The 24,110-nt window shown below is 37.0% G+C and overlaps 1 pseudogene, besides 2 other annotated features; it reads right to left on the bottom strand.

Moving 5' to 3' along the window:
* Positions 3,083-3,227: an enhancer, noted in NCBI's record as "145 bp enhancer 84 fragment used in the MPRA reporter construct; PK_construct_4335". NCBI's record gives its function as "activates an SV40 promoter by MPRA in HepG2 and K562 cells {active_cell/tissue: HepG2 | K562}" and the evidence as "EXISTENCE:reporter gene assay evidence [ECO:0000049][PMID:23512712]".
* Positions 3,146-3,163: a transcriptional cis regulatory region, noted in NCBI's record as "GATA motif; enhancer activity is reduced when this motif is scrambled". NCBI's record gives its function as "necessary for full MPRA enhancer 84 activity {active_cell/tissue: HepG2 | K562}" and the evidence as "EXISTENCE:site-directed mutagenesis evidence [ECO:0005528][PMID:23512712]".
* RNU6-1032P (RNA, U6 small nuclear 1032, pseudogene) lies at positions 23,661-23,767 on the bottom strand (annotated as a pseudogene).

The following is a 24,110-nucleotide window of genomic DNA, read 5'->3' as shown; positions in this document are numbered from 1 at the left end:
GAGAGAAAGGAGAATACAGAGAATCACAGCTTAGTGGGAGCAGAAGCTGCTGGAGCCAGAAACTTAAACTGTAATGATGAACTGCTGGAAGCTGAGTGTGGACTAGTTTGAGAGTTAAAAACTTAGTGGTGGGGCGATTCCTCTCACTTTTGGAGTTTTACTTCCCTAAGCCCCACAAGGTGTTCTCTCATAGTGGAGACTGGAGAAAAATCCCCCTGGGCTTCCAGCAAGACAGGGAAAGTACCCATTTTGAAATAAGCTTGGAGTGTTCTGTCCTCTGCCTGCTCTCAAAGGAATTTACATTTCTAGAATCTAAATAATGTAGGGGAAGGAAAATACCCAACTCTCACCCTAACTAACTTTCCTATCTCACCTGAGAGGGAAAAAAATTAAGAAGCATTTATGAAGTTCACAGCCCAAGAGCACAGGCTCATTAAAAAATTGAGACCTAATTATGGAATTATAGAATGTCCCCCGCCAGTTACATATCTCATTGATGTGTCAACTAAACTCCTAAATCATAACAGATGATAATAGTTGAAAAGTCTGCAAGGCTCAGACTCTATTTAAAAAGACATTTCTAGGGAAACCCAAAGATAACTGGAGAGACAAAAACAAGGACAGTAGAAGAAATTGAAGCCTCAGACGCTTATAGCTACAACAAAAAGTAAAGTGTAGCTCCTAACCAGGTAATCATAAACCCTCACACCAAAGACTGACTTACCTCAGGTTCTATTACCTAATATATCATGTGTAACTTTCAACAAAATTTAGGTGCGCTAATGGGCAAGAAAAAACAAACATAGCCTGAAAAGACAAAGCAGGCAACAGAACCTGACTTAGATTTGGCAGAGATTTTAAGATTATCAGACCAACCAAAAATTTAAAATAACTATAATTAATGTGCTGAGAGCTCTGATGGAAAAAAAGGTAGACAACATGCAAGAACATGCAAGATGGGTAATATAAACAGAGATGGGAACTCAAGAAATCATAAAAGGGAAATGCTAGAAATAAAAAACATAGTAACAGAAATAAATGACCTTGTGTCTGAAACACCTCTTTTGAGTCCTTCATATCTCCCAATTTCACCTGTCTCAGCTGCCGTTGGCCATTTGCTTTTTAACTACGGCCTCCACAGCAAACTGTGGGTGGGTTCAGAGTGACTTCAGGAGTGTAACCCAGCAGGGAGCAGTGGCCCATAGTACAGATCTACAAGGCCCCTGAGCAGTGGTGTGAATGGCTTGGTTTATTGGTCAGAGGCCTGGAAGGAATAAGAATAGAAAATAAGGAGCAAATAGGGAAAGGAGTTGTGGGATGGACCCTTGGGAGTGATCATAGAGCATATGGATCTTTATGTCTCATATTAAAACCCCAAAGAGCATCCACTACCAAAGAGGTTCTTGACCTTGAAGCTGTCCACAATTCTCTTTTTCTCACATCTCACCTCCGATCCACCTGGAAATTTTAAAGGGTCTACCTTCAAATTATATTTAGAATCCAACCACCTCTGGCATCTTCCTGCTACTATTCTGGTCCATGCAAGCATAATTTATCCCAACAGCTTCCTAAATTGTTTTAGTGACTCAGATTTGCCACTTCCCTTCATTTTATTCTTCCATTAATAAACAGATTGAGCTTTATTATAAAATGTAAGTCAGATCTGGCTATTCCTTTTTTTTTTTTTTTTTTTTTTTTTTTGAGACAGAGTCTCGCTCTTTCGCCCAGGCCGGACTGCAGTGGCACTATCTTGGCTCACTGCAACATCCGCTTCCCGGGTTCATGCCATTCTCCTGCCTCAGCCTCCCGAGTAGCTGGGACTACAGGTGCCCGCCACCGCGCCTGGCTAAGTTTTTGTATTTTTAGTAGAGATGGGGTTTCACCGTGTTAGCCAGGATGGTCTTGATCTCCTGACCTCATGATCCACCCGCCTTGGCCTCCCAAAGTGCTGGGATTACAGGCGTGAGCCATCGCGCCCGGCCTGATCTGGCTATTCCTTTGTTCAAAATCCTGCAATGGCTTCTCATTTCTTTCAAAGTGAAAGTCAAGCCTTGTAAAGCCTCTATGAGGCTTTACACGCTTTGACCCCTTGTACCCCCTGCCTCATCCCCTACACTGCGCTGAATTCACTCTGCTCCAGCCACATTGGCCACTTTGATGCTCCTCCAGCATGCCAGCCATATGTCTCCCCAGAGTCTCTGCAGCGGTTCTTTCTTCTACCTGGGCCAGTCCTCCTAAGATATCCTTATGGTTCACTCTCTCACCTGCAAGTCTTAGTCAAACACCACCTTTACAGTGAAGCCAGGCCTTAACCCTCTTTCTCTGCCAATACACCAGCATCCTTATCCCTCAAACTGCTCTATTTTTCCATAGTTGTTAACACCTTCTGCATAATTTACCTATTTATGTTGTTTATTTTCCACTTCCCACACTACAAGGTAAGCTGCATGAGAAGAAGGACATTGTCTGCTTTGACATTGCTGGATCCTTGGCATTCAGTGCTTGGCATATAGGACATGTTCAATAAGTGTCTGTTGAATGGTTAAATGTACTTGAGTGAAGCTGGAAGCTTCCAGCATTCCATTTCTTGCTGGTGCCAGCAGATTGTATGAACTTCCTACAAACCAAGTTCAGTCAGCTGCTCATGGAGAAGTCATCAGTGAGCACAGCCTTGGTAGAGGAGGGTGTGTCCTGAGAAGGCCCTTTGAATGAGAGATGGGGGTGCTGCTACCTTCTAGACATAGTTTGCAACCTAATGAAGTGTTACGGTAGAATCAGGAAAGTAGACAGTGAATGAGGAAACTGAGGCCCTGGGAAGTTAAGAGACGTGCCCAAGGCCACATAGCTGTTCAGTAGCAGAGTACAGTATATTTTTCCTAAACAGAGCGTTGATGTACTTCCTTTTGTCAAAGCATGATAAAAATGAAAATGATTTTTCAAATACACACTTAGTGGGCCTGACATGTGGGTGTACATTTAAACATTTCCCAAATGCATGATATTCTTGTTTATCTAGTTTCCAAAAAAGTAAGACATTTCTATCATTCTGAGTGGTATGACACCATCAGGATGGTTGTGGCGGCTAAAAAAACACACGAAACACATAGCACGGAAAAAGACTCAGTCATAACAAAGCCTGGCTTTCCTTATCAGCACGAACCCAGGAACCCTGAGAGCACCCCCAAATATACATTGATGATGATGCTATGAGTCACTGCATGACTCATAGCTCACTGACCACTAGAAAATAGAAATATGAGGAGTAATTCACTGCCTAGGCCAAATGGAACTGAAGAACTTTCCTACCTACCCTACGAGTGATACATCAAATTAGGGATAAGGTGCCATCTCTTTCTTCTTCTTGGAGTGGATTAGTTCCCCCTCTTTGTGCTTCTCCCCAGAGACACAAGGACAGATAAGCCTCTGGTGTTGCTAATAATCTCCCAGTGAGCCATTCTATTACTGTACCTGCCTACTTGGGCTCATTCTGTAAAGAAATTCAACCCATAAGAGTGCCTCAGCACACAAAAATGTACTTCATCACTCCTCAGAGCAAGATGGCTTCTTGGATCAACATTTTATTCCTTCCCTCCCTTGACCGAGACACTAAACAGACCCATAATAAACCGTCCTCAACTGCACAAGTAAGAAAATTATTCTTAGGGCCAAGACACGTTGTTCTCCAAAACTGTTTCTCTCTTTTATTTGTAAGAATCAAGGAACCAGAAACCACAATTTGGGGGCAGAGAAGATTAATGGAAATGTTCATGTTTCTAAAAAAAAATAAAGAGTTCTATTCTCCAATACCTTTCCAGTGGGGCTGCTGTTTCACTCACATGATCTGGGTGGATGGGTCAGTGTTTAATCTTTGCTTTACCAAGGAGGGTCCTGAGGAGGCTGGAAGACACTGGCTAAGGTCACAAGGCCAGTCCTTCCCAGGAGGTGGGATTGCCTGCTCTGAAGTTCCTCCCTCCCCTGCCTGGGCTGTGTCTGACACCCCCGCACACCATCTTTCAGGGCTTAACTGCACCAGTCCACATAGTGAGGCTGATACAGGCCGTCTGGTGACAGGAGGCTGTCTGGCGTGTGGATTTCCTCTCATTCAGAAGATAGCACTGTAAAAATATGATCTTACCTTCACAAAGTGACCCCTGCTTTTGGAGCGATGGGTGCTCTGTAAAGAAACACCCCAGGGATGGGTGTTCTTCCCTGCCCCTTTTATTCCCTCCACACTAATAGAAAGATCTTAATAGCATCAAAAAGGCATCTTCTGTCTGGGGTCTCCAGTGCTGCTCAGGGATCATCTCATAAGACATGAAGTATGATGGGCAACTGCAGGGGGCCCTGGTTCTGCCTGACACAAGGGCCACCGTGGCTTGTTTGCACATCTAAGATTACTTGAATAATCTTGCCGATGAGAAGCAATTGGATCAGTGTTTTCCTGGAGAGAAAAGTAGACACTGAACACTGAAAGGAAAACTGCCGCTTTGGTGAGGTGAGCCCTGGAGCAGGTGTCCAGTATCTCTCCCTTCATTGAGATTTCTTTGCCATTCTCACGGCAACTCATTCCTTAAATAAGCATCAGCTGAATTCCTACTTTGTGTTAGGTATTGAGCTAGGCTTGGAGATACAGAGATAAACATTTCCTGAAATAGAACAAGAAGAACCAGAGTGCTGAGGCAAGTGCAGAGGCAACCTACATCTGTCGAGAGTAGGTTGAACCAGGGAAAGCAAAACAAAGTCCAAGTCCAAAGGGCAGGAGGAAGGCCAAGAGCAGAGTTCAGATACTTGTTGGGGTTGGAGCTGAGGTGTCTGAGGTTTACCTGTCTTGACTCAGATCAGTAAATACACATTTTCATTGAAACATCAACTAGTATCTTCATTATGGTCAGCTTGATAGTACTCACTTCTATCTTTTTAAAACTTTTTACATTTTTGTTTTTCATTTTTTTTAAAATTATGGATTCAGGGGGTACATGTGTTGGTTTGTTGCATGGATATATTGCATAATGGCAAGGTTTGGGCTCCTAGTATACCCATCACCCAAATAGTGAACATTGTACCCAATAGGTAATTTTTCAACCCTCACCTCCTTCTACCCTCTCCTATTTTGGAGTCCCCACTGTCTATTATTTCTATCTTTTTGTCCATATGTACTCATTGTTTAGTTCCCACTTATAAGTAAGAACATGTGCTATTTTATTTTCTGCTTCTGAATTGTTTCACTTAGAATAATTACTTCCAGCTCCTTTCATGTTGCTGCAAAAGACATGATTTCATTCTTTTTTTATGCTGCATAGTATTCCATGGTATGTATATAATATATATTATAGATATTATAGATATAATATATTTATAATATAATATATAATATATTGTATATTTATTATATATTATATAATATATATTATATATCATATTATATATTATATAATATATATTATATATCATATTATATATTATATAATATATATTATATATCATATATATGTTATATATTATATATAATATATATTATATATCATATATATATTATATGTAATATATATTATATATCATATTATATATTATATATTATATTATATATATTATTTGTCAGCTGGAGGCATCACACTACATGACTCTAAACTATACTACAGGGCTACAGAAATCAAAACAGCATGGTACTGGTACAAAAACAAACACATAGACCAATGGAACAGAATACAGAACCCAGAAATAAGTCCTCACATCTACAACTATCTGATCTTTGACAAACCTGACAAAAACAAGCAATGGGGAAAGGATTGCCTATTCAATAAATGGTGCTTGGATAACTGGCTAGTCATATGCAGAAGACTGAAACTGGACCTCTTCCTTATACCATGTACAAAAATCAACTCAAGATGGATTAAACACATAAATATAAAACCCAAAGCTATAAAAACCCTGGAAGAAAACCTAGGCAGTACCATTCAGGACATAGGCCCTGGCAAAGATTTCATGACGAAGACACCAAAAGCAATTGCAACAAAAGCAAAATTGACAAATGGGATCTAATTAAACTAAAGAGATCCTGTACAGCGGAAGAAACTATCAATAGAGTAAACAAACAACCTACAGAATGGGAGAAAATTTTTGCCAACTATACATCTGACAAAGGTCTAATATTCAGCATCTACAAGTGTATTAGCCTATTCTCACATTGCTATAAAGACCTACCTGAGACTGGGTAATTTATGAAGAAAAGGGGTTTAATTGACTCACACTTTCACAAGCTGTACAGGAGGCACAGCTGGGGAGGCCTCAGGAAACTTGCAATCATGGTGGAAGGGTGAAGGGTAAGCAAGCACATCTTCACATGGTGGCAGGAGAAAGGGTGAAAGGGGAAGTACTGCATACGTTTAAACAATCAGATCTCCTGAGAACTCACTCACTATCATGAGAACAGCAAGGAGGAAATCTGCCCCCATGATCCAATCACCTCCTACCAGGTCCCTCCCCCAGTACTGGGGATTACAATTCAACATGAGATTTGCGTGAGGACACAGAGCCAAAAACCATATCAAGAAGGAACTTAATTTAAAAGAAAAAACAAAAAAAAAAACCATTAAAAAGTGGGCAAAGGACTTGAACAGATACTTTTCAAAAGACGACATACATTTGACCAACAATTATATGAAAAAGAGCTCAACATCACTGATCATTAGAAAAATGCAAATCAAAACCGCAATGAGATACCATCTCATACCAGTCAGAATGGCCATTAATAAAAAGTCAAAAAAAAAAAAAAAAAACAGATGCTGGTGAGGCTGTAGAAATTAGTTCAACCATTGTGAAAGATAATGTGGTGATTCTTCAAAGACCGAAAGACAGAAATACCATTTGACCCGGCAATCCCATTACTGGGTATATACCCAAAGGAATTTAAGTCATACTATTATAAAGACACATGGTGTGTATGTTCATTGCAGCACTATTCACAATAGCAAAGACATAGAATCAGCCTAAATGTTCACCAATAACAGATTGGATAAAGAAAATGTGGTACATATACACCATGGAATACTACACAGCCATAAAAAAGAACAAGATCTTGTCCTTTGCAGCAACATGAATGGAGCTAGAGGTCATTATCCTAAGCTAACTAATGCAGGAACATAAAACCAAATACTATATGTTCTTACTAACAAGTGGGACCTAAATGATGAGAAGACGTGGACACATAAAGGGGAACAACATGCACTGGGGCCTGTTAGAGGGTGGAGGGTGGGAGGAAGGAGGGGATCAAAAAAAATAATTAATGAGTACTAGGCTTAATACCGGGGTGATAAAATAATCTGTACAACAAACCCACATGACACTAGTTTACCTAGGTAACAAACCTGCACATGTACCCCTGAACTTAAAACAAGAGTTAAAAAAAAAATCTCATTTGTCTACTTTTGTTTTTGTTGTATTTGCTTTCGAGGTCTTGGTCATTAATTCTTTGCCTAGGCCAATGTCCAGAACAGTTTTCTCTAGGTTTTCTTTTAGGATTTTTATAGTTTCAGGTTTTTAAAAAAAAAATAGTTTTAAGTCTTTAATTAATCTTGAATTAATTATGGTGGGAAACAGGGATCTAGTTTCATTCTTCTGCGTATGGCTACCCAATTTTCCCAACATGATTTATTGAACAGGGTGTCCTTTCCCCATTTTTTGAGGGTCCACTTTGTTGAAGATCAGTTGGATGTACACATGTGGCTTTATTTCTGGATTCTCCATTCTGTCCCATTGGTCTATGTGTCTGTTATTTTACCATTACCATGCTGTTTTGGGTACTGTTGCTTTGTAGTATAGTTTGAAGCCAGGTAATGTGATGCCCCCAACTTTGTTCTTTCTGCTTAGGATCACTTTGGTTGTTCAGGCTCTTTTTTGGTTTCATATAAATTTTAGGATTTTTTTCTAATTCTGCAAAAAAATGATGTTGGTAATTTGATAGAAATTGCACTGAATCTGTACATTGCTTTGGGCAGTATGGTCATTTTAATGATACTGATTCTTCCAATCCATGAGCTTGGGATATTTTTCTATTTGTTTGTGTTATCCATCATTTCTCTCATCAGTGTTTTGTAGTTCTTGTAGAGATCTTTCACCTCCTTGGTTAGATGTACTCCTAGGTATTTGTGTGTGTGTGTGTGTGTGGCTATTGTAAATGGGATTGAGTTCTTAATTTGTCTTTCAGCTTGAACATTATTCATGTATAGAAATGTTACAGATGTTTGCATATTCATTTTGAACCCTGAAACCTTACCAAACTCATTTCTCAAGCCTAGGAATCTTTTTGAGAGTCTTTAGGGTTTTCTGGGTGTAAGATAATGTCATGAGTGAACAGAGATAATTTAACTTCCTCTTTTCCAATTTAGATGCATTTTATTTATTTCTCTTGCCTGATAGCTCTGGCTAGGATTTCCAGTACTATGTTAACTAGGAGTGGTGAGAGTGGGCATCCTTGTCTATTTCTGGTTCTTAGAAGGAATGCTTTCAACTTTCCCCATTCAGTATGATCTTAGCTGTAGGTTTGCCTTATATGGCTCTTATTATTTTGAATTATATTCTTTTGATGCCAGTTTGATGAAGGTGTTAGTCATGAAAAGATGTTGGATTATCAAATGCTTTTCTATATCTATTGAAATAATCATTTGGTTTTTGTTTTTAATTCTGTTTTTGTGGTGAATCACATTTATTGATTTCCTTATGTTGAACCATCCTTGCATCCCTGGAATAAAACCCACTTGATCATGTGGGAATAAAATCCACAGCACATCATATTATCTTTTTGATATGCTGTTGGATTCAGTTTGCTAGTATTTATTTATTTATTTATTTTTATTTTTATTTTATTATTATTATACTTTAAGTTTTAGGGTACATATGCACAATGTGCAGGTCAGATACATATGTATACATGTGCCATGCTGGTGTGCTGCACCCATTAACTCGTCATTTAGCATTAGGTATATCTCCTAATGCGATCCCTCCCTCCTCCCTCTACCCTACAACAGTCCCCAGAGTGTGATGTTCCCCTTCCTGTGTCCATGTTTTCTCATTGTTCAATTCCCACCTATGAGTGAGAATATGCGGTGTTTGGTTTTTTGTTCTTGTGATAGTTTACTGAGAATGATGATTTCCAATTTCATCTATGTCCCTACAAAGGACATGAACTCATCATTTTTTATGGCTGCATAGTATTCCATGGTGTATATGTGCCACATTTTCTTAATCCAGTCTATCATTGTTGGACATTTGGGTTGGTTCCAAGTCTTTGCTATTGTGAATAGAGCCGCAATAAACATACGTGTGCATGTGTCTTTATAGCAGCATGATTTATAGTCCTTTGGGTATATACCCAGTAATGGGATGGCTGGGTCAAATGGTATTTCTAGTTCTAGATCCCTGAGGAGTAGCCACACTGACTTCCACAAGGGTTGAACTAGTTTACAGTCCCACCAACAGTGTAAAAGCGTTCCTATTTCTCCACATCCTCTCCAGCACCTATTGTTTCCTAACTTTTTAATGATTGCCATTCTAACTGGTGTGAGATGGTATCTCATTGTGGTTTTGATTTGCATTTGTCTGATGGCCGGTGATGGTGAGCATTTTTTCATGTGTTTTTTGGCTGCATAAATGTCTTCTTTTGAGAAGTGTCTGTTCATGTCCTTCGCCCACTTTTTGGTGGGGTTGTTTGTTTTTTTCTTGTAAATTTGTTTGAGTTCACTGTAGATTCTGGATATTAGCCCTTTGTCAGATGAGTAGGTTGTGAAAATTTTCTCCCATGTTGTAGGTTGCCTGTTCTCTCTGATGGTAGTTTCTTTTGCTGTGCAGAAGCTCTTGAGTTTAATTAGATCCCATTTGTCAATTTTGGCTTTTGTTGCCATTGCTTTTGGTGTTTTAGACATGAAGTCCTTGCCCATACCTATGTCCTGAATGGTAATGCCTAGGTTTTCTTCTAGGGTTTTTATGGTTTTAGGTCTAACGTTTAAGTCTTTAATCCATCTTGAATTAATTTTTGTATAAGGTGTAAGGAAGGGATCCAGTTTCAGCTTTCTACACATGGCTAGCCAGTTTTCCCAGCACCATTTATTAAATAGGAAATCCTTTCCCCATTGCTTGTTTTCCTCAGGTTTGTCAAAGATCAGATAGTTGTAGATATGCGGCGTTATTTCTGAGGGCTCTGTTCTGTTCCATTGATCTATATCTCTGTTTTGGTACCAGTACCATGCTGTTTTGGTTACTGTAGCCTTGTAGTATAGTTTGAAGTCAGGTAGCATGATGCCTCCAGCTTTGTTCTTTTGGCTTAAGATTGACTTGGCGATGCGGGCTCTTTTTTAGTTCCATATGAATTTTAAAGTAGTTTTCTCCAATTCTGTGAAGAAAATCATCGGTAGCTTGATGGGGATGGCATTGAATCTATAAATTACCTTGGGCAGTATGGCCGTTTTCACGATATTGATTCTTCCTACCCATGAGCATGGAATGTTCTTCCATTTGTTTGTATCCTCTTTTATTTCATTGAGCAGTGGTTTGTAGTTCTCCTTGAAGAGGTCCTTCACGTCCCTTGTAAGTTGGATTCCTAGGTATTTTATTCTCTTTGAAGCAATTGTGAATGGGAGTTCACTCATGATTTGGCTCTCTGTCTGTTATTGGTGTATAGGAATGCTTGTGATTTTTGCACATTGATTTTGTATCCTGAGACTTTGCTGAAGTTGTTTATCAGCTTAAGGAGATTTTGGGCTGAGACAATGCGGTTTTCTAAATATACAATCATGTCATCTGCAAACAGGGACAATTTGACTTCCTCTTTTCCTAATTGAATACCCTTTATTTCCTTCTCCTGCCTAATTGCCCTGGCCAGAACTTCCAACGCTATGTTGAATAGGAGTGGTGAGAGAGAGCATCCCTGTCTTGTTGCCAGTTTTCAAAGGGAATGCTTCCAGTTTTTTCCCATTCAGTATGATGTTGGCTGTGGGTTTGTCATAGATAGCTCTTATTATTTTGAGATACGTCCCATTAATACCTAATTTATTGAGAGTTTTTAGCATGAAGGGTTGTAGTTTGCTAGTATTTTGTTGAGGACTTTTGTGTGTGTTCATCAGGAATATTGGCCTGTAATTTTCTTTTTTGTGTGTCCTTGCTTGATTTTGGTGTCAGGGTGATACCAGTTTTATAGAACGAGATGGGAAAGAATCCCTCCTCCTTCATTTTTTGAAATAGTTTCTGTAAGATTGATATTAGTTTGTACACCTGGTAAAATTCAGCTGTGAATTTGTCTGGTCTTGGACTTTTTTGGGAGTGTATTTTAAATTACTGATTTAATTTTATGACTTATTATTGGTTTGTTCACAATTTCTATTTATTCCTGGATCAATTTTGGGAGTTGCATGTTTCCAGGAATTTATCCATTTCCTCTAGGTTTTCTAGTTTGTGCACAGAGGTGCTCATAGTACTCTCTGATGATCTTTATTATTTCTGTGATTATATTCTAGTATCACCTTTATCATTTCTGATTGTGTTTTTTGGATCATTTCTCTTTTTTTCTTGGTGACTCCTAGGTAGCAATCTATCAATTTAGCTTATCCTTTTGAAGAAAAATATTTTTGTTTCATTGATCTTTTATATCTATTTGGTCTCAATCTCATTTAGTTCTGCTCTGATCTTTGTTATTTATTTTTTTCTGCTAGCTTTGAGTTTGGTTTGTTCTTGTTTTTCTAGCTCTATGAAGTGGGATATTAGGTTGTTAATTTGTGATCTTTCTATCTTTTTGTAGGCATTTAACACTATAAGCTTTCCTCTGAGCACTACTTTTGTTGTATCCCAAATGTTTTGATATGTTGTGTCCCTATTTTTATCCAGTTCAAAAAATTTATTGATTTCTCTCTTAATTTTATTATTTACTCAAAGATTGTTCAGGAGCAAGTTATTTAGTTTCCATGTATTTACATAATTTTGAGATTTCCCCTTGGTGTTGATTTTTAATTTTATTTCACTGTGGTCTGAGAAGATATTTGATATAATTTTAATTTTTTTGAATGTATTGAGACTTGCTTTATGGCCAAGCACATGGTTTATTTGGAGAATGTTTCATGTGTGAATAAGAAAAATGCATATTCTACATTTGTTGGGTAGAGTGTTCAGTAAATGTCTATGAGGCCTATTTGCTCCAGAGTCCAGTTTATACCCTGTTTCTTTTTTCTAAATTTTTACTTTTTAAGCTATCTCCTACTGGAAGAAACTCCCAGAGTTTCTTTGTTGAATTTCTGCCTTTATGATCTGTCTCATACTGTTGATGGGGTGTTGAAGTCCCTTACTATTATTGTGTTGCTATCTATCTATTTTCTTAGGTCTAATAGTATTTGTTTTATGAATCTGGCTGCTCCGATATTGGGTGCATATACATTTAGGGTAGTTAAATGGTTTTGCTGAATTGAACCCTTTATCATCATATAATGACCTTCTTTGTTTTTTTCCACCGTTGTTGATTTAAAGTCTATTTTATCTGATATAAGTATCTGATACTTATGTCAAAACTCCTGCTTGTTTTTGTTTTCAGTTTGTGTGATCACAAACTGAAACCACCTTTACTTTGAGTCTGTGGGCATCTTTACCTATTAGATGATACTCTTGTAGGCGACTAATTGTTGGGTCTTGTTTTTTAAATCCATTTTGCCAGTCTATATCTTTTAAGTGGAGCATTTAGGCCATTTACTTTCAAGTTAATATTGATAAGTTTTCCTCCAGTCATAATGTTGATAGCTAGTTGCTTTGTAATCTCAATTGTGTAATTGCTTAATAGGATCTGTGAGCTTTGTACTTAAGTTTGCTTTTATGTTGGTGCATATTGCCCTTTTTTTTCCATGTTTAGAATGCCTTTGAGCATTTCTTGTAGGACCAGTCTAGTTGTGATGAATTCCCTTAATGTTTGCTTGCCTGGAAAGACGTTATTTTTCTTCCACTTATGAAGCTTATTTAGGCAGGATAGAACATTCTTGGCTGGCATTTTTTTTTCTTAAAGAAGGCTGAAAATAGGCTCCCAATTTCTTCTGTTTATAAGGTTTCTTATGAGAAGTCCACTGTTAGTCTGATGGGGTTTTCTTTATAGGTAGTTTGACACTTCTCTCTAGGTGCTTTTAAAATTTTTTCTTTCAACTTGACCTTAGATAGTCTGATGACTATGTACCTTGGTGATGTTCTTCTTGTAAAGTATCTCCCAGGTGTTCTCTGCACTTCTTGTATCTGGATGTCTACATCTCAAGCAAGATCATGAAAAAACTGACTGCTGTGAAACCACCACCAAAGGATCACACTAGGTCTTTAGCAATGGATCCTAACCAAAATAAAAATTCTGAAGTGACAGATAAAGAATTCAAAATATGGATTGTAAGGAAGCTCAATTCAATCCAAGAGAAAGTTAAAAAAACAACACAAAGAAATCAGATAAATAATTCAGGATATGAAAGAAGAGAGAGAGATCTTTTTTAAAAAAACAACTTCTGGAAATGAAAAATTCACTGAAGGAATTTCAAAATACAGTTGAAAGCTTTAATAATAGACTAGATCAAGCAAAAGAAAGAATTTCAGAGCTTGAAGACCAGTCCTTCAAATTAACCCAGCCAGAAAACAAATAAAGAAAAAATAATTTAAAAAACTGAATAAAGCCTTTAAGAAATATGGCATTGTGTAAAGCAACGAAACCTATGAGTTACAGGCATTCCTGAGGAGAAAGAAAAAGTTAAAAATTTGAAAAAATATTTGAATTTTCACTTCTAATTAGGAACATATTTTTCCTAGTTAAAATGTGTTATATGTACTTGATACTACTTAATCTAAACTATTGATTGATTTTTCACCTTGAAAGTTTATCACTTTTGAAGTGATTTTATGTCAGAGATTTGCTTCAAAGTAACAAAATAGAAGAAACAAATGGCGCATGGATGAGGCAAGACAGGCCAAGAATTGAAAATTGCTTAATTTGGGTGATGGGTACATGAGAATTCATTATTTTATTTTCCCTGCTCAGCCAGATACATGCTTAGTAGTGCTATTCCCTTAAAAATGGTCCCAAGCGTATCTAAGTCAATATGAAAGTTCAAAAATAAACAAACCTAGTTCTAAAATGGTCTGATTGCATGACATTTGACCAGTTCTTAACTGTTCTAGGACTCTGTGTTTTTTGTAGATGGTTATTAGTTAGTTACAACCGACTGTCTTGAGGACTTCAGGGGAAAAATATATTATTCTAGAGAAATGTCTTAATCACCATTGAATTTTGAATTTTATTTCACCTTTCTTTATCTGAAGACAAAATAAATTATGTCCTAAGTATGTAAATGCCATCACTGTTTGTTCTTAGAAAGCAGTGATACTGGAAAACATGATCCACAGAGAGACAGGAATAGGAATAAAAATGTGAAATGAAACTTTTTTTTTTTTTTTTTCTGAGACTGAATCTCACTCTGTTGCCCAGGCTGGAGTGCAGTGGCACGATCTCGGGTCACTGCAAGCTCCGCCTCCCAGGTTCACGCCATTCTCCTGCCTCAGCCTCCCGAGTAGCTGCTACTACAGGCGAGCACCACCACACCCGGCTAATTTTTTGTATTTTCAGTAGAGATGGGGTTTCAACATGTTAGCCAGGATGGTGTCGATCTCCTGACCTCGTGATCTGCCCACCTTGGCCTCCCAAAGTGCTGGGATTACAGGCATGAGCCACCGTGCCCAGCCTGAAATGAAACTTTAAAGAGAATCCCCAAACCATTAATAGCTAGAGAGACATTGAAAAGTGATTTGGTGCAGATTTTAATGCACATAATCTACTTAGAAGTAGCTTTTTAACAAACTAGACCAAATAGTCCAGGAAAGGCATGAAAATAGCAGTCACTCAGGAACTTTCACAGATATCAAGGAGATTTTAGGAGATTTGCTACATGAATGCTGGAGCACTAATTAAGGTGTTGAAAAGAAGATAGTTGAACCTGGAAAATCTTTGTATTGAGTAACCTAAAAGTAGAGCTTAAAGGAGTGAGCTTGGCTTCCGACAAAATATAGTGAATTAAGCATATGTTTTTATTTGCTCCTTCCCCAAATACCATCAAATGGCAATAAAGGAATTTTTTTAAAAGATTCACAAGAAAGAGAAGATTGGAGAAGAAGACCAGAAAATAAAATGTTGGAAGTGGGAACGCAAATGGGAAAAGCGAATCCTAAGCCAGCAGTGAGGAAAGCAGAAGTTCATCTGATTTATACAGAAGAATTTGTGTAAGGTGAAGGAATGGGCAGTGCTAGATTCTTCTGGAAGTGGGACTGAAAATAGAGATTAAGTAAGGAGGATTGTTTGAAAGTCTAAGAACTATCCAGATCCCATATTGCTCCCCACAGTCTGATAAACCACCCAGGGACCAGCCATTTTTTGACCCTAGGAAAAGAATATTGTTTAAAAAAGGGAAACAAAGGGAACTTCAGGTTCAGTTGAGGTTGGAGGTACTGAACAGAAAATGAAGATGTGGATAATATTTGCATCCTGGATTCTGAGCCAGCCCTCTTCCTACATTCAGGTCCCAGAATATTGGTCTTCATCCTCCAAAGAAGAGGTTGGGGATTTTTCCCAAGGGAATATGACTGGTTCAACAGGAAATATCTAAAGAGATGCTGAAAATTTGCCATTTAAATATCTCAACCAGATCACAATAAAGCTCAGAATAGACAAACCTCCCCCACTCTTAGAGGGTATTAGTGCCCCTATTTTAAATAAATATGAACCTTCAACCCAGAAACATCAGATAACAGGAAAGTATCTATAGAAATCAAAATAAGCAGAAACAGGCAACGTGGAGAACAAATGTGAGGTTTTAAAAAATGTGTCCACAAATTATTCGGCATTTCTCACATCAAAGGGGAGAGTCTAATTCCTCTATCTTTGAATATGGGCTAGTCTTAGAAACTTGCTTCTAAAGAATATATTGTGATGATGCTGGGCTGTGTGATCTTTTTAGGCAAGGTTAGAAAAAGTGATGTAGCTCTTACGTGATGTTTTCTCTCTCTCTGTCTCTCTCTCATTTTTCTCCATTTACCCTTGGAAACCCAGCCATTATGCTATTAAGAAGTCAAGTGTCCACATGAAAAGATGGCATAAGGTATTCTAATCACAGTTCCAGCTGAGATTTTAGCATTAGCCAGTACCAATGACCAGATATGTGAATGAATGAGAATTCCATCCCCAGTTTTTGAGCCACCTAGCTAATGCCAGGTGGAGCAAAGACAAGCTGTCCTCACAGGGTCTTACCAAAGCTACAGTTCATGAGCAAAATAAATACTATTGTTATATTAAACCAATAATTTTTGAAATGGTTTGTTATGCAGTAATAGAAAACTTGAACACAGATAATTTCCAGGGAGAAGAAATTTTAAAATTTACAGTCAATTCTTCTTCTGGCTGAGATGAAGTAACAGGTACCTGATTTATCATCTTGCCTGAAACAGTTGAAATCTGGACAAAATGTATAAAACAATGGTTATTAAGATATTTAAAGTCAGGCAACAAAATACCTTGATCCCTGAGAAAAGGGAGATAAGTGAAGTTAGCTCTACAGTTGTTCCAGATTACTACTTAGAGAAAGTTTCCAGGCTGTGTTGTAAAGAGAAGGAATTCAGGCAGAGCCTAGTGGTCTCCTTACATTGGGGGAGCAGAGCTGGAAATCTAAGGAGGCCAAAGAGAGTACAGTTTACAGGGCAAAGTACTAGAGAGAAGAGAGCTAGAGGGGTTGGGGGCAGAGGAGAGAGAGAGAGAGAAGATACACAAGCTCTAGAGATCTGAGAAGGTATGTTCCCTCAGCTCAGTATTCAGCTGAGTACTGATCAATGCATGCCTATGAGGAAATCACTCAAGGCCAGGGGAAAAATCACACAAAAGGATTATAGTATTATAGTGACTAACTCTCAGAGCTCACAAAAGGCACTGGAATAGCGACTGTCCCACCAGTCAGAGTGAAATGTCTCATAATTCACAGGACACAAGATAGAGTATAAAGATGGGTGTTGCTTTGGTAGAAGTGCAAAAGTAGCCCTAGATTAAATGCTTCTCTGGTCTCATCTAGGAAAGCTTAAAAGCACAACTTGAAAGGAGTAAACTGTTTCCAAGTAATTTAACTGCATCGAAGATTGGAGCCCAAAATATTTATAGAAATGCAACAATAGGGCAGGGCGCTGTGGCTCACACCTGTAATCCCAGCACTTTGGGAGGTTGAGGCAGGCAGATCACCTGAGGATGGGAGTTTGAGACTAGCCTGACCAACATGGAGAAATCCCATCCCTACTAAAAATACAAAATTAGCTGGGCGTGGTGGCACATGCCTATAATCCTAGCTACTTGGGAAGCTGCGGCAGGAGAATCGCTTGAACCTGGGAGGCGGAGGTTACGGTAAGCTGAGATCGTGCCATTGCACTCCAGCCTGGGCAACAAGAGCGAAACTCTTATCTCAAAAAAAAAAAAAAAAAAGTAATAATATATATCATCCTAGAAGCTAAAATTCACCATGTGTAGCATGCAATAAAAAATTAGCGGGTATGTAAAAAAGCAGGAAAATATGATATATAATAAGGAGAAAACTCAATCAACCAAGATTGACAAAGATAATAAAATTAGTAGACTAGGGCATTAAAATAGTTATTACAACTATATTCTGTATGTTCAAGAATCTGAATGAAAGATTAAACAAGTTAAATAGATACTTGAAAGACATTAAAAAAAAGACCAAAATTGAATCTCTAGGGATGAAACCTACAATTTCTTGGATAAAGAATACATGGTATGGGATTAATGCATATTAGAAATTGCTGAAGAAAAGATTAATGAAATTGAAGATATCATAATAGAAACTATCCAAAATGAAACATACAAAGAAAAAAGATGAAAGACTGAACAGAGTATCAGTGAGTAGTGGGGCAACTTCAAGCAGCCTAGCATACATTTAATTAAAGACTCTGAAGGGAAGGGAAGGGCAGAAAAAAAATTTAAGAAATAATGGTTAATTTTTTTTCCCAAATTTGGTGAAAATTGTAAACTGCACGTCTAGGAAGCTAAATAAACCCCAAGCAGGAAAATCTTAAGAAAACTACTCCAATGAACATTATAATCAAATTGCCTTAAACTAGTGATATAGAGAAAAAAATCTTAAAAGTAATCAGAAAAACAAGACGCATTATGTAATGAAGAAAAAAGAGAAGGGTAAGAGCAGATTTCTTGCCACAAACAACGAAAACTAGTGGCAGTAGAGCACTAGTTTATGTACTAAAAGAAAAAAAAAGGCAACTTATAATTCTTTACCCAGCAAAACTATCTTTCAAAAATACCTGTAAAAACTGAAAGAATTTATCACTATCAGACCGGCACAATAAGGAATATTAAAGGAAGTCCTTCAAGCAAAAGAAAAGTAGTATTAGATGGAAATCCTGATCTAAACAAAACAAAGAAGTGCACCAGAAAGGGAAAATACATAAGAAGAGAAAAAAAAATATGTCTTATTATTAAATATTTAAATCTCTTTAATAGATAATTGGATTGTTTAAAGCAAAAATAATAACAATGTATTATAGACTCATAATATTTGTAGAATTAAAATGTATGACAAGAGCATAAAGACAGGGAAATAAGTAATGAAAGTATAGGCTTGTGAGATTCTTACACTGTATGTGAAGTGGTGTAATATCACTTGAAGGCAGACAGAAATAATAAAAATATGTATTTTTAACTTTGAAACCAATCATTAAATTAAATAATACATAACCCTTATTTTGGCTAATTAGGAAAAAAGATACAAAATGGAAAAAAAAATTCCTTCCAAAGAAAGCAGAAAAAGAGAAAAAGGGGAGCAAAGATTAGAAATAAAAAAGAAAACTCACAGCTGTCCCATGTTTAAACACAACCATATGAAAATATATGTGTGTGTATATACATATAAATGTATGTTTATAGAAAATGTTTATATATGTGTCTAAACCCAACCACATAAAAATTTCATTAAATGTGAATTTTTTAAATACCTCAATTAGAAGGCAGACATTGTCAGATTGGATAAAACAGCAAGAACCCTAAAATCAATGGCAACACAAAAATGTCCACCTTTACCACTTCTATTCAATGTTGTAATGGAGATTCTAGTCAGGACAATTAGGCAAGAAAAAGAAATAAAATGTATCTAGATTGGAAAGGAGAAAGTAAAAGCTATTTCTATTTCAGATGACATAATCTAGTACATAAATAATTGTAAAGAACCTCCCCGAACCCATTTGATCTCATACCTGAGTCCAGCAGAATTGCAAGATACCACATTAATCTATAAAGCTCAATTATATTTCTATATCCTAGCAATAAAGAATCAAAAAATGAAATTATAAAAACAGTATAATATATATGTACATCTTATGGAAATACACAGTTGCTCAAAATTAATTGAATATTTAGGAATAAATTTAACAAAAAGTGAAAAACTTTTATTCTGAAAACTATAAAACATGGTTGGAAAAAATTAAGGAACACCTTATTAAATGGAAAAGTATCCCATGTTCATGGAGTGGAAGACAATATTGTCAAAATAGCAATACTTGCCAAAGTTATCTACAGATTCAATACAATTTTATAGAAATTTTAGCTGACTTTCTTTTGCCAAAATTGACAAGCTGATCCCAAAATTCATATGGAAATGAGGGAATCCAAATAGCCAAAACAATCTAGGACACATACTTTCTGATTTCAAAACTTACTATAAAGCTACAATAATCAAGACAGTGTAGTATTGGTGTGAGGCTGGAAATATAGATCAATGGGATAAAATTGAGAATCCAGAAGTAAACTTTTAGATTTGTGATTAACTGATTTTTCAGCAAGGGTTTCAAGACCATTTAAAGGGGAAAGAATAGTCTTTCCAATAAATGGTGTTAGAATAACTAGATATCCACACATAAAAGGAAGAAGTTGGACCCACTTCATGCCACAAACAACTCAAAATGGATCAAGGACCTAAATGTATGAGTAAAACTATAAAACTTTTAGAAGAAAACATTGGTATAAATATTCATGACTTTGGATTAAGCAATGATTTCTTAGCTGTGACACCAAATGCAGTGAAAGAAAATGAAAGCTAAGTTGCATTTAATCAAAATAAAAAAGTGTTGCACTGCAAAGGACATCATCAAGAAAGTAAAAAGAACCCACAGAATAAGAGAAAATATCTGCAAATTATGTATCTAATAGGGAATATGTCTCCAGACCATATAAAGAGCTCATATAAAAAGACAACCTAATTAAAAATGGGCAAAGAATTTGAATAACTATTTCTCCAAAGATATACAAATGGCCAGTAAACACATGAAAAGATTATAAATATCATTAGCCATCAGAGAAATAAAAATCAATAGTGGAATGAGATACCAATTCATATCCACAAGGGTAGCTATAATAAAAAAGATAAACAACAACAAGCATTGCCAAGAATATGGAAGATTTGGAACCCTCATACATTGCTGGTGGCAATGCAAAATGGTGCAGCTGCTATGGAAAACAGTTTAATAATTTCTCAAAAAGTTAAACATAGAGTTAGCGTATAACCCAGCAATTCCACTCCTAGGCATCTACGCAAGAGAAATGAAACATACATCCACACAAAAACACACCCCAGTGTTTATAGCAATATTATTTTTAATAGCCAAAAAGTGGAAACAACCCAAATGTCCATCAACTAACAAATGGATAAACAAAATATATATCCATACAATGGAACATTACTCAGCTATAAAAAGGAATAAAATGCTGACACATGCTACAACATGGATGAAACTTTAAAACATTATGTGAAGCAAAAAAGTCAGACACAAAAATTCACATATTGTGCAATACCATTTATATGAAATATCCAGAATAGACAAATCCATAGAGACAGAAAGTATGTTAGTGGCTGCCCAGATAGTTGCTAGAGAGGGAGTGGAGAGTGACTACTAATGCCTATGTGGTTTCTTTTTCTTTTAGGGGTAGCAAAAATGTTCTAAAATTAGAGTGTAGACATGCTTGCTCAACTTTGTAATATATACTGAAAATCATTGAATTTGTATACTTTAAATGGATGAATTTCATGGTGTGGAAATTATATCTCATAAAGATGTCAAAATAATGAATAAGCAAAAAGTGAAGTGAAATACGCTATAATCATGTCTCCCAAAAGATGATCAAATATTTTGCAAATATTTATTCGAACTTCTTTGCCTTTATCATAATGTATACATGTTTTATGATTGTTATTTTTAAAGGGGCTTATTCTACAGATACTGTCCAAACATTTTGAAAATCTTATTTTTATGCAGGGAGTACTTTTCATATCAATGTATACATATTTCAGTATTTATAAAGGCTGCAAATTAACCTATTGCATTGGTATCTCATAGTTTATTTAAACATTTGTTTTTTGATGAACATTTAGGGAATTTCTGATTTCCTTTTCAAACAAAGCTCCAGTGAATGTCTTTACACATTTATCTTTGAGCAATCGTGTATTTCCATAAGATGTCTTCCTTCAAGGAGAATTGTCTTCAAAGTTATTTTTTTTTATTTTTTATTTTTTTGAGATGGAGTCTCACTCTGTCGCCCAGGCTGGAGTGCAGTGGCATGATCTCAGCTCACTGCAATCTCCGCCTCCTGGGTTCAAGCGATTCTCCTGCCTCAGCCTCCTGAGTAGCTGGGACTATAGGCGCACACCACCACGCCTGGCTAATTTTTGTATTTTTAGTAGAGATGGGGTTTCACCATGTTGGCCAGGCTGGTCTCAAACTCCTGACCTCAGGTGATCCACCTGCCTCAGCCTCCCAAGGTGCTGGGATTACAGGCGTCAGCCACCGCACCTGGTGTCAAAGTTATTTTTATAAGAAACTAGGAAAAAACTACTTTAAAGATCATATGGCACCAAAAAAGAGCCCGCATTGCCAAGTCAATCTTAAGCCAAAAGAACAAAGCTGGAGGCATCACGCTACCTGACTTCAAACTATACTACAAGGCTACAGTAACCAAAACAGCATGGTACTGGCACCAAAACAGAGATATAGATCAATGGAACAGAACAGAGCCCTCAGAAATAATGCCGCATATCTACAACTATCTGATCTTTGACAAACCTGAGAAAAACAAGCAATGGGGAAAGGATTTCCTATTTAATAAATGGTGCTGGGAAAACTGGCTAGCCATATGTAGAAAGCTGAAACTGGATCCCTTCCTTACACCTTATACAAAAATTAATTCAAGATGGATTAAAGACTTAAACGTTAAGACCTAAAACCATAAAAACCCTAGAAGAAAACCTAGGCATTACCATTCAGGACATAGGCATGGGCAAGGACTTCATGTCTAAAACACCAAAAACAATGGCAACAAAAGCCAAAATTGACAAATGGGATCTAATTAAACTCAAGAGCTTCTGCACAGCAAAAGAAACTACCATCAGAGTGAACAGGCAACCCACAAAATGGGAGAAAATTTTCACAACCTACTCATCTGACAAAGGGCTAATATCCAGAATCTACAGTGAACTCAAACAAATTTACAAGAAAAAAACAAACAACCCCATCAAAAAGTGGGCGAAGGACATGAAAAGACACTTCTCAAAAGAAGACATTTATGCAGCCAAAAAACACATGAAAAAATGCTCACCATCACCGGCCATCAGACAAATGCAAATCAAAACCACAATGAGATACCATCTCACACCAGTTAGAATGGCAATCATTAAAAACTCAGGAAACAACAGGTGCCGGAGAGGATGTGGAGAAATAGGAATGCTTTTACACTGTTGGTGGGACTGTAAACTAGTTCAACCCTTGTGGAAGTCAGTGTGGCGATTCCTCAGGGACCTAGAACTAGAAATACCATTTGACCCAGCCATCCCATTACTGGGTATATACCCAAAGGACTATAAATCATGCTGTTATAAAGACACATGCACGCGCATGTTTATTGCGGCTCTATTCACAATAGCAAAGACTTGGAACCAACCCAAATGTCCAACAATGATAGACTGGATTAAGAAAATGTGGCACATATACACCATGGAATACTATGCAGCCATAAAAAATGATGAGTTCATGTCCTTTGTAGGGACATAGATGAAATTGGAAATCATCATTCTCAGTAAACTATCACAAGAACAAAAAACCAAACACTGCATATTCTCACTCATAGGTGGGAATTGAACAATGAGAACACATGAACACAGGAAGGGGAACATCACACTCTGGGGACTGTTGTGGGGTGGGGGGAGGGGGGAGGGATAGCTTTAGGAGATATACCTAATGCTAAATGACGAGTTAATGGGTGCAGCACAGCAGCATGGCACATGTATACATATGTAACTAACCTGCACATTGTGCACATGTACCCTAAAACTTAAAGTATAATAAAAATTAAAAAAAAAAAGAAACTAGGAGACGCTTATTAGGTGCTGCTAGCTGCCTAACAAACTGGAAGCTTTCCACATTTCCATTTTATCTCTTAAAGCCCATCTGTTGTCTAAAGTTTTTTTTTTTTCATCTTTTAAGTTCCGAGGTACATGTACAGGATGTGCAGGTTTGTTACATAGGTAAACGTGTGCCATGGTGGTTTGCTGCGTAGATAAAAAAATATAGAACGCTTCGCAAATCTGCATGTCATCCTTGCACAGGGACCATGTACATCTTCTCTATATCATTCCAATTTTAGTATATTTGCTGCCAAAGTGAGCACTGAAGTTTTTTTCTTAATACATAAATTACCTTTTTGAAAAGGGGAGGTATTTTTTCATATCCATGAATACTTTCATTCTTGTTGAGTGTATCAATTATTAAATATATTCATCATATATTATCTGACTAACTGATTTACATTTTGGGAATAGCTACTAAAAACAAATCAAAACAAAACAAAACTTGCTAGTCCAAATAGTTAAAGCCCAAAGCTAAGATACTCAGTAATTTTTGGGGGGGGTTAGAGAGTGTACATTATTCAATTGAGGTTATGATAAACTAGTGTACACATACTGCAAATTTAAGCTGTCCCTACCAGCTTGTTAGCCAGTTTGTGTAACCAA

Source organism: Homo sapiens, chromosome 18 (genome assembly GCF_000001405.40).
Source record: "Homo sapiens chromosome 18, GRCh38.p14 Primary Assembly".
Taxonomy (NCBI): Eukaryota; Metazoa; Chordata; class Mammalia; order Primates; family Hominidae; genus Homo; species Homo sapiens.
Note: the sequence above shows the minus strand (reverse complement) of the source record. Positions and strands in the feature narration are given on the sequence as shown.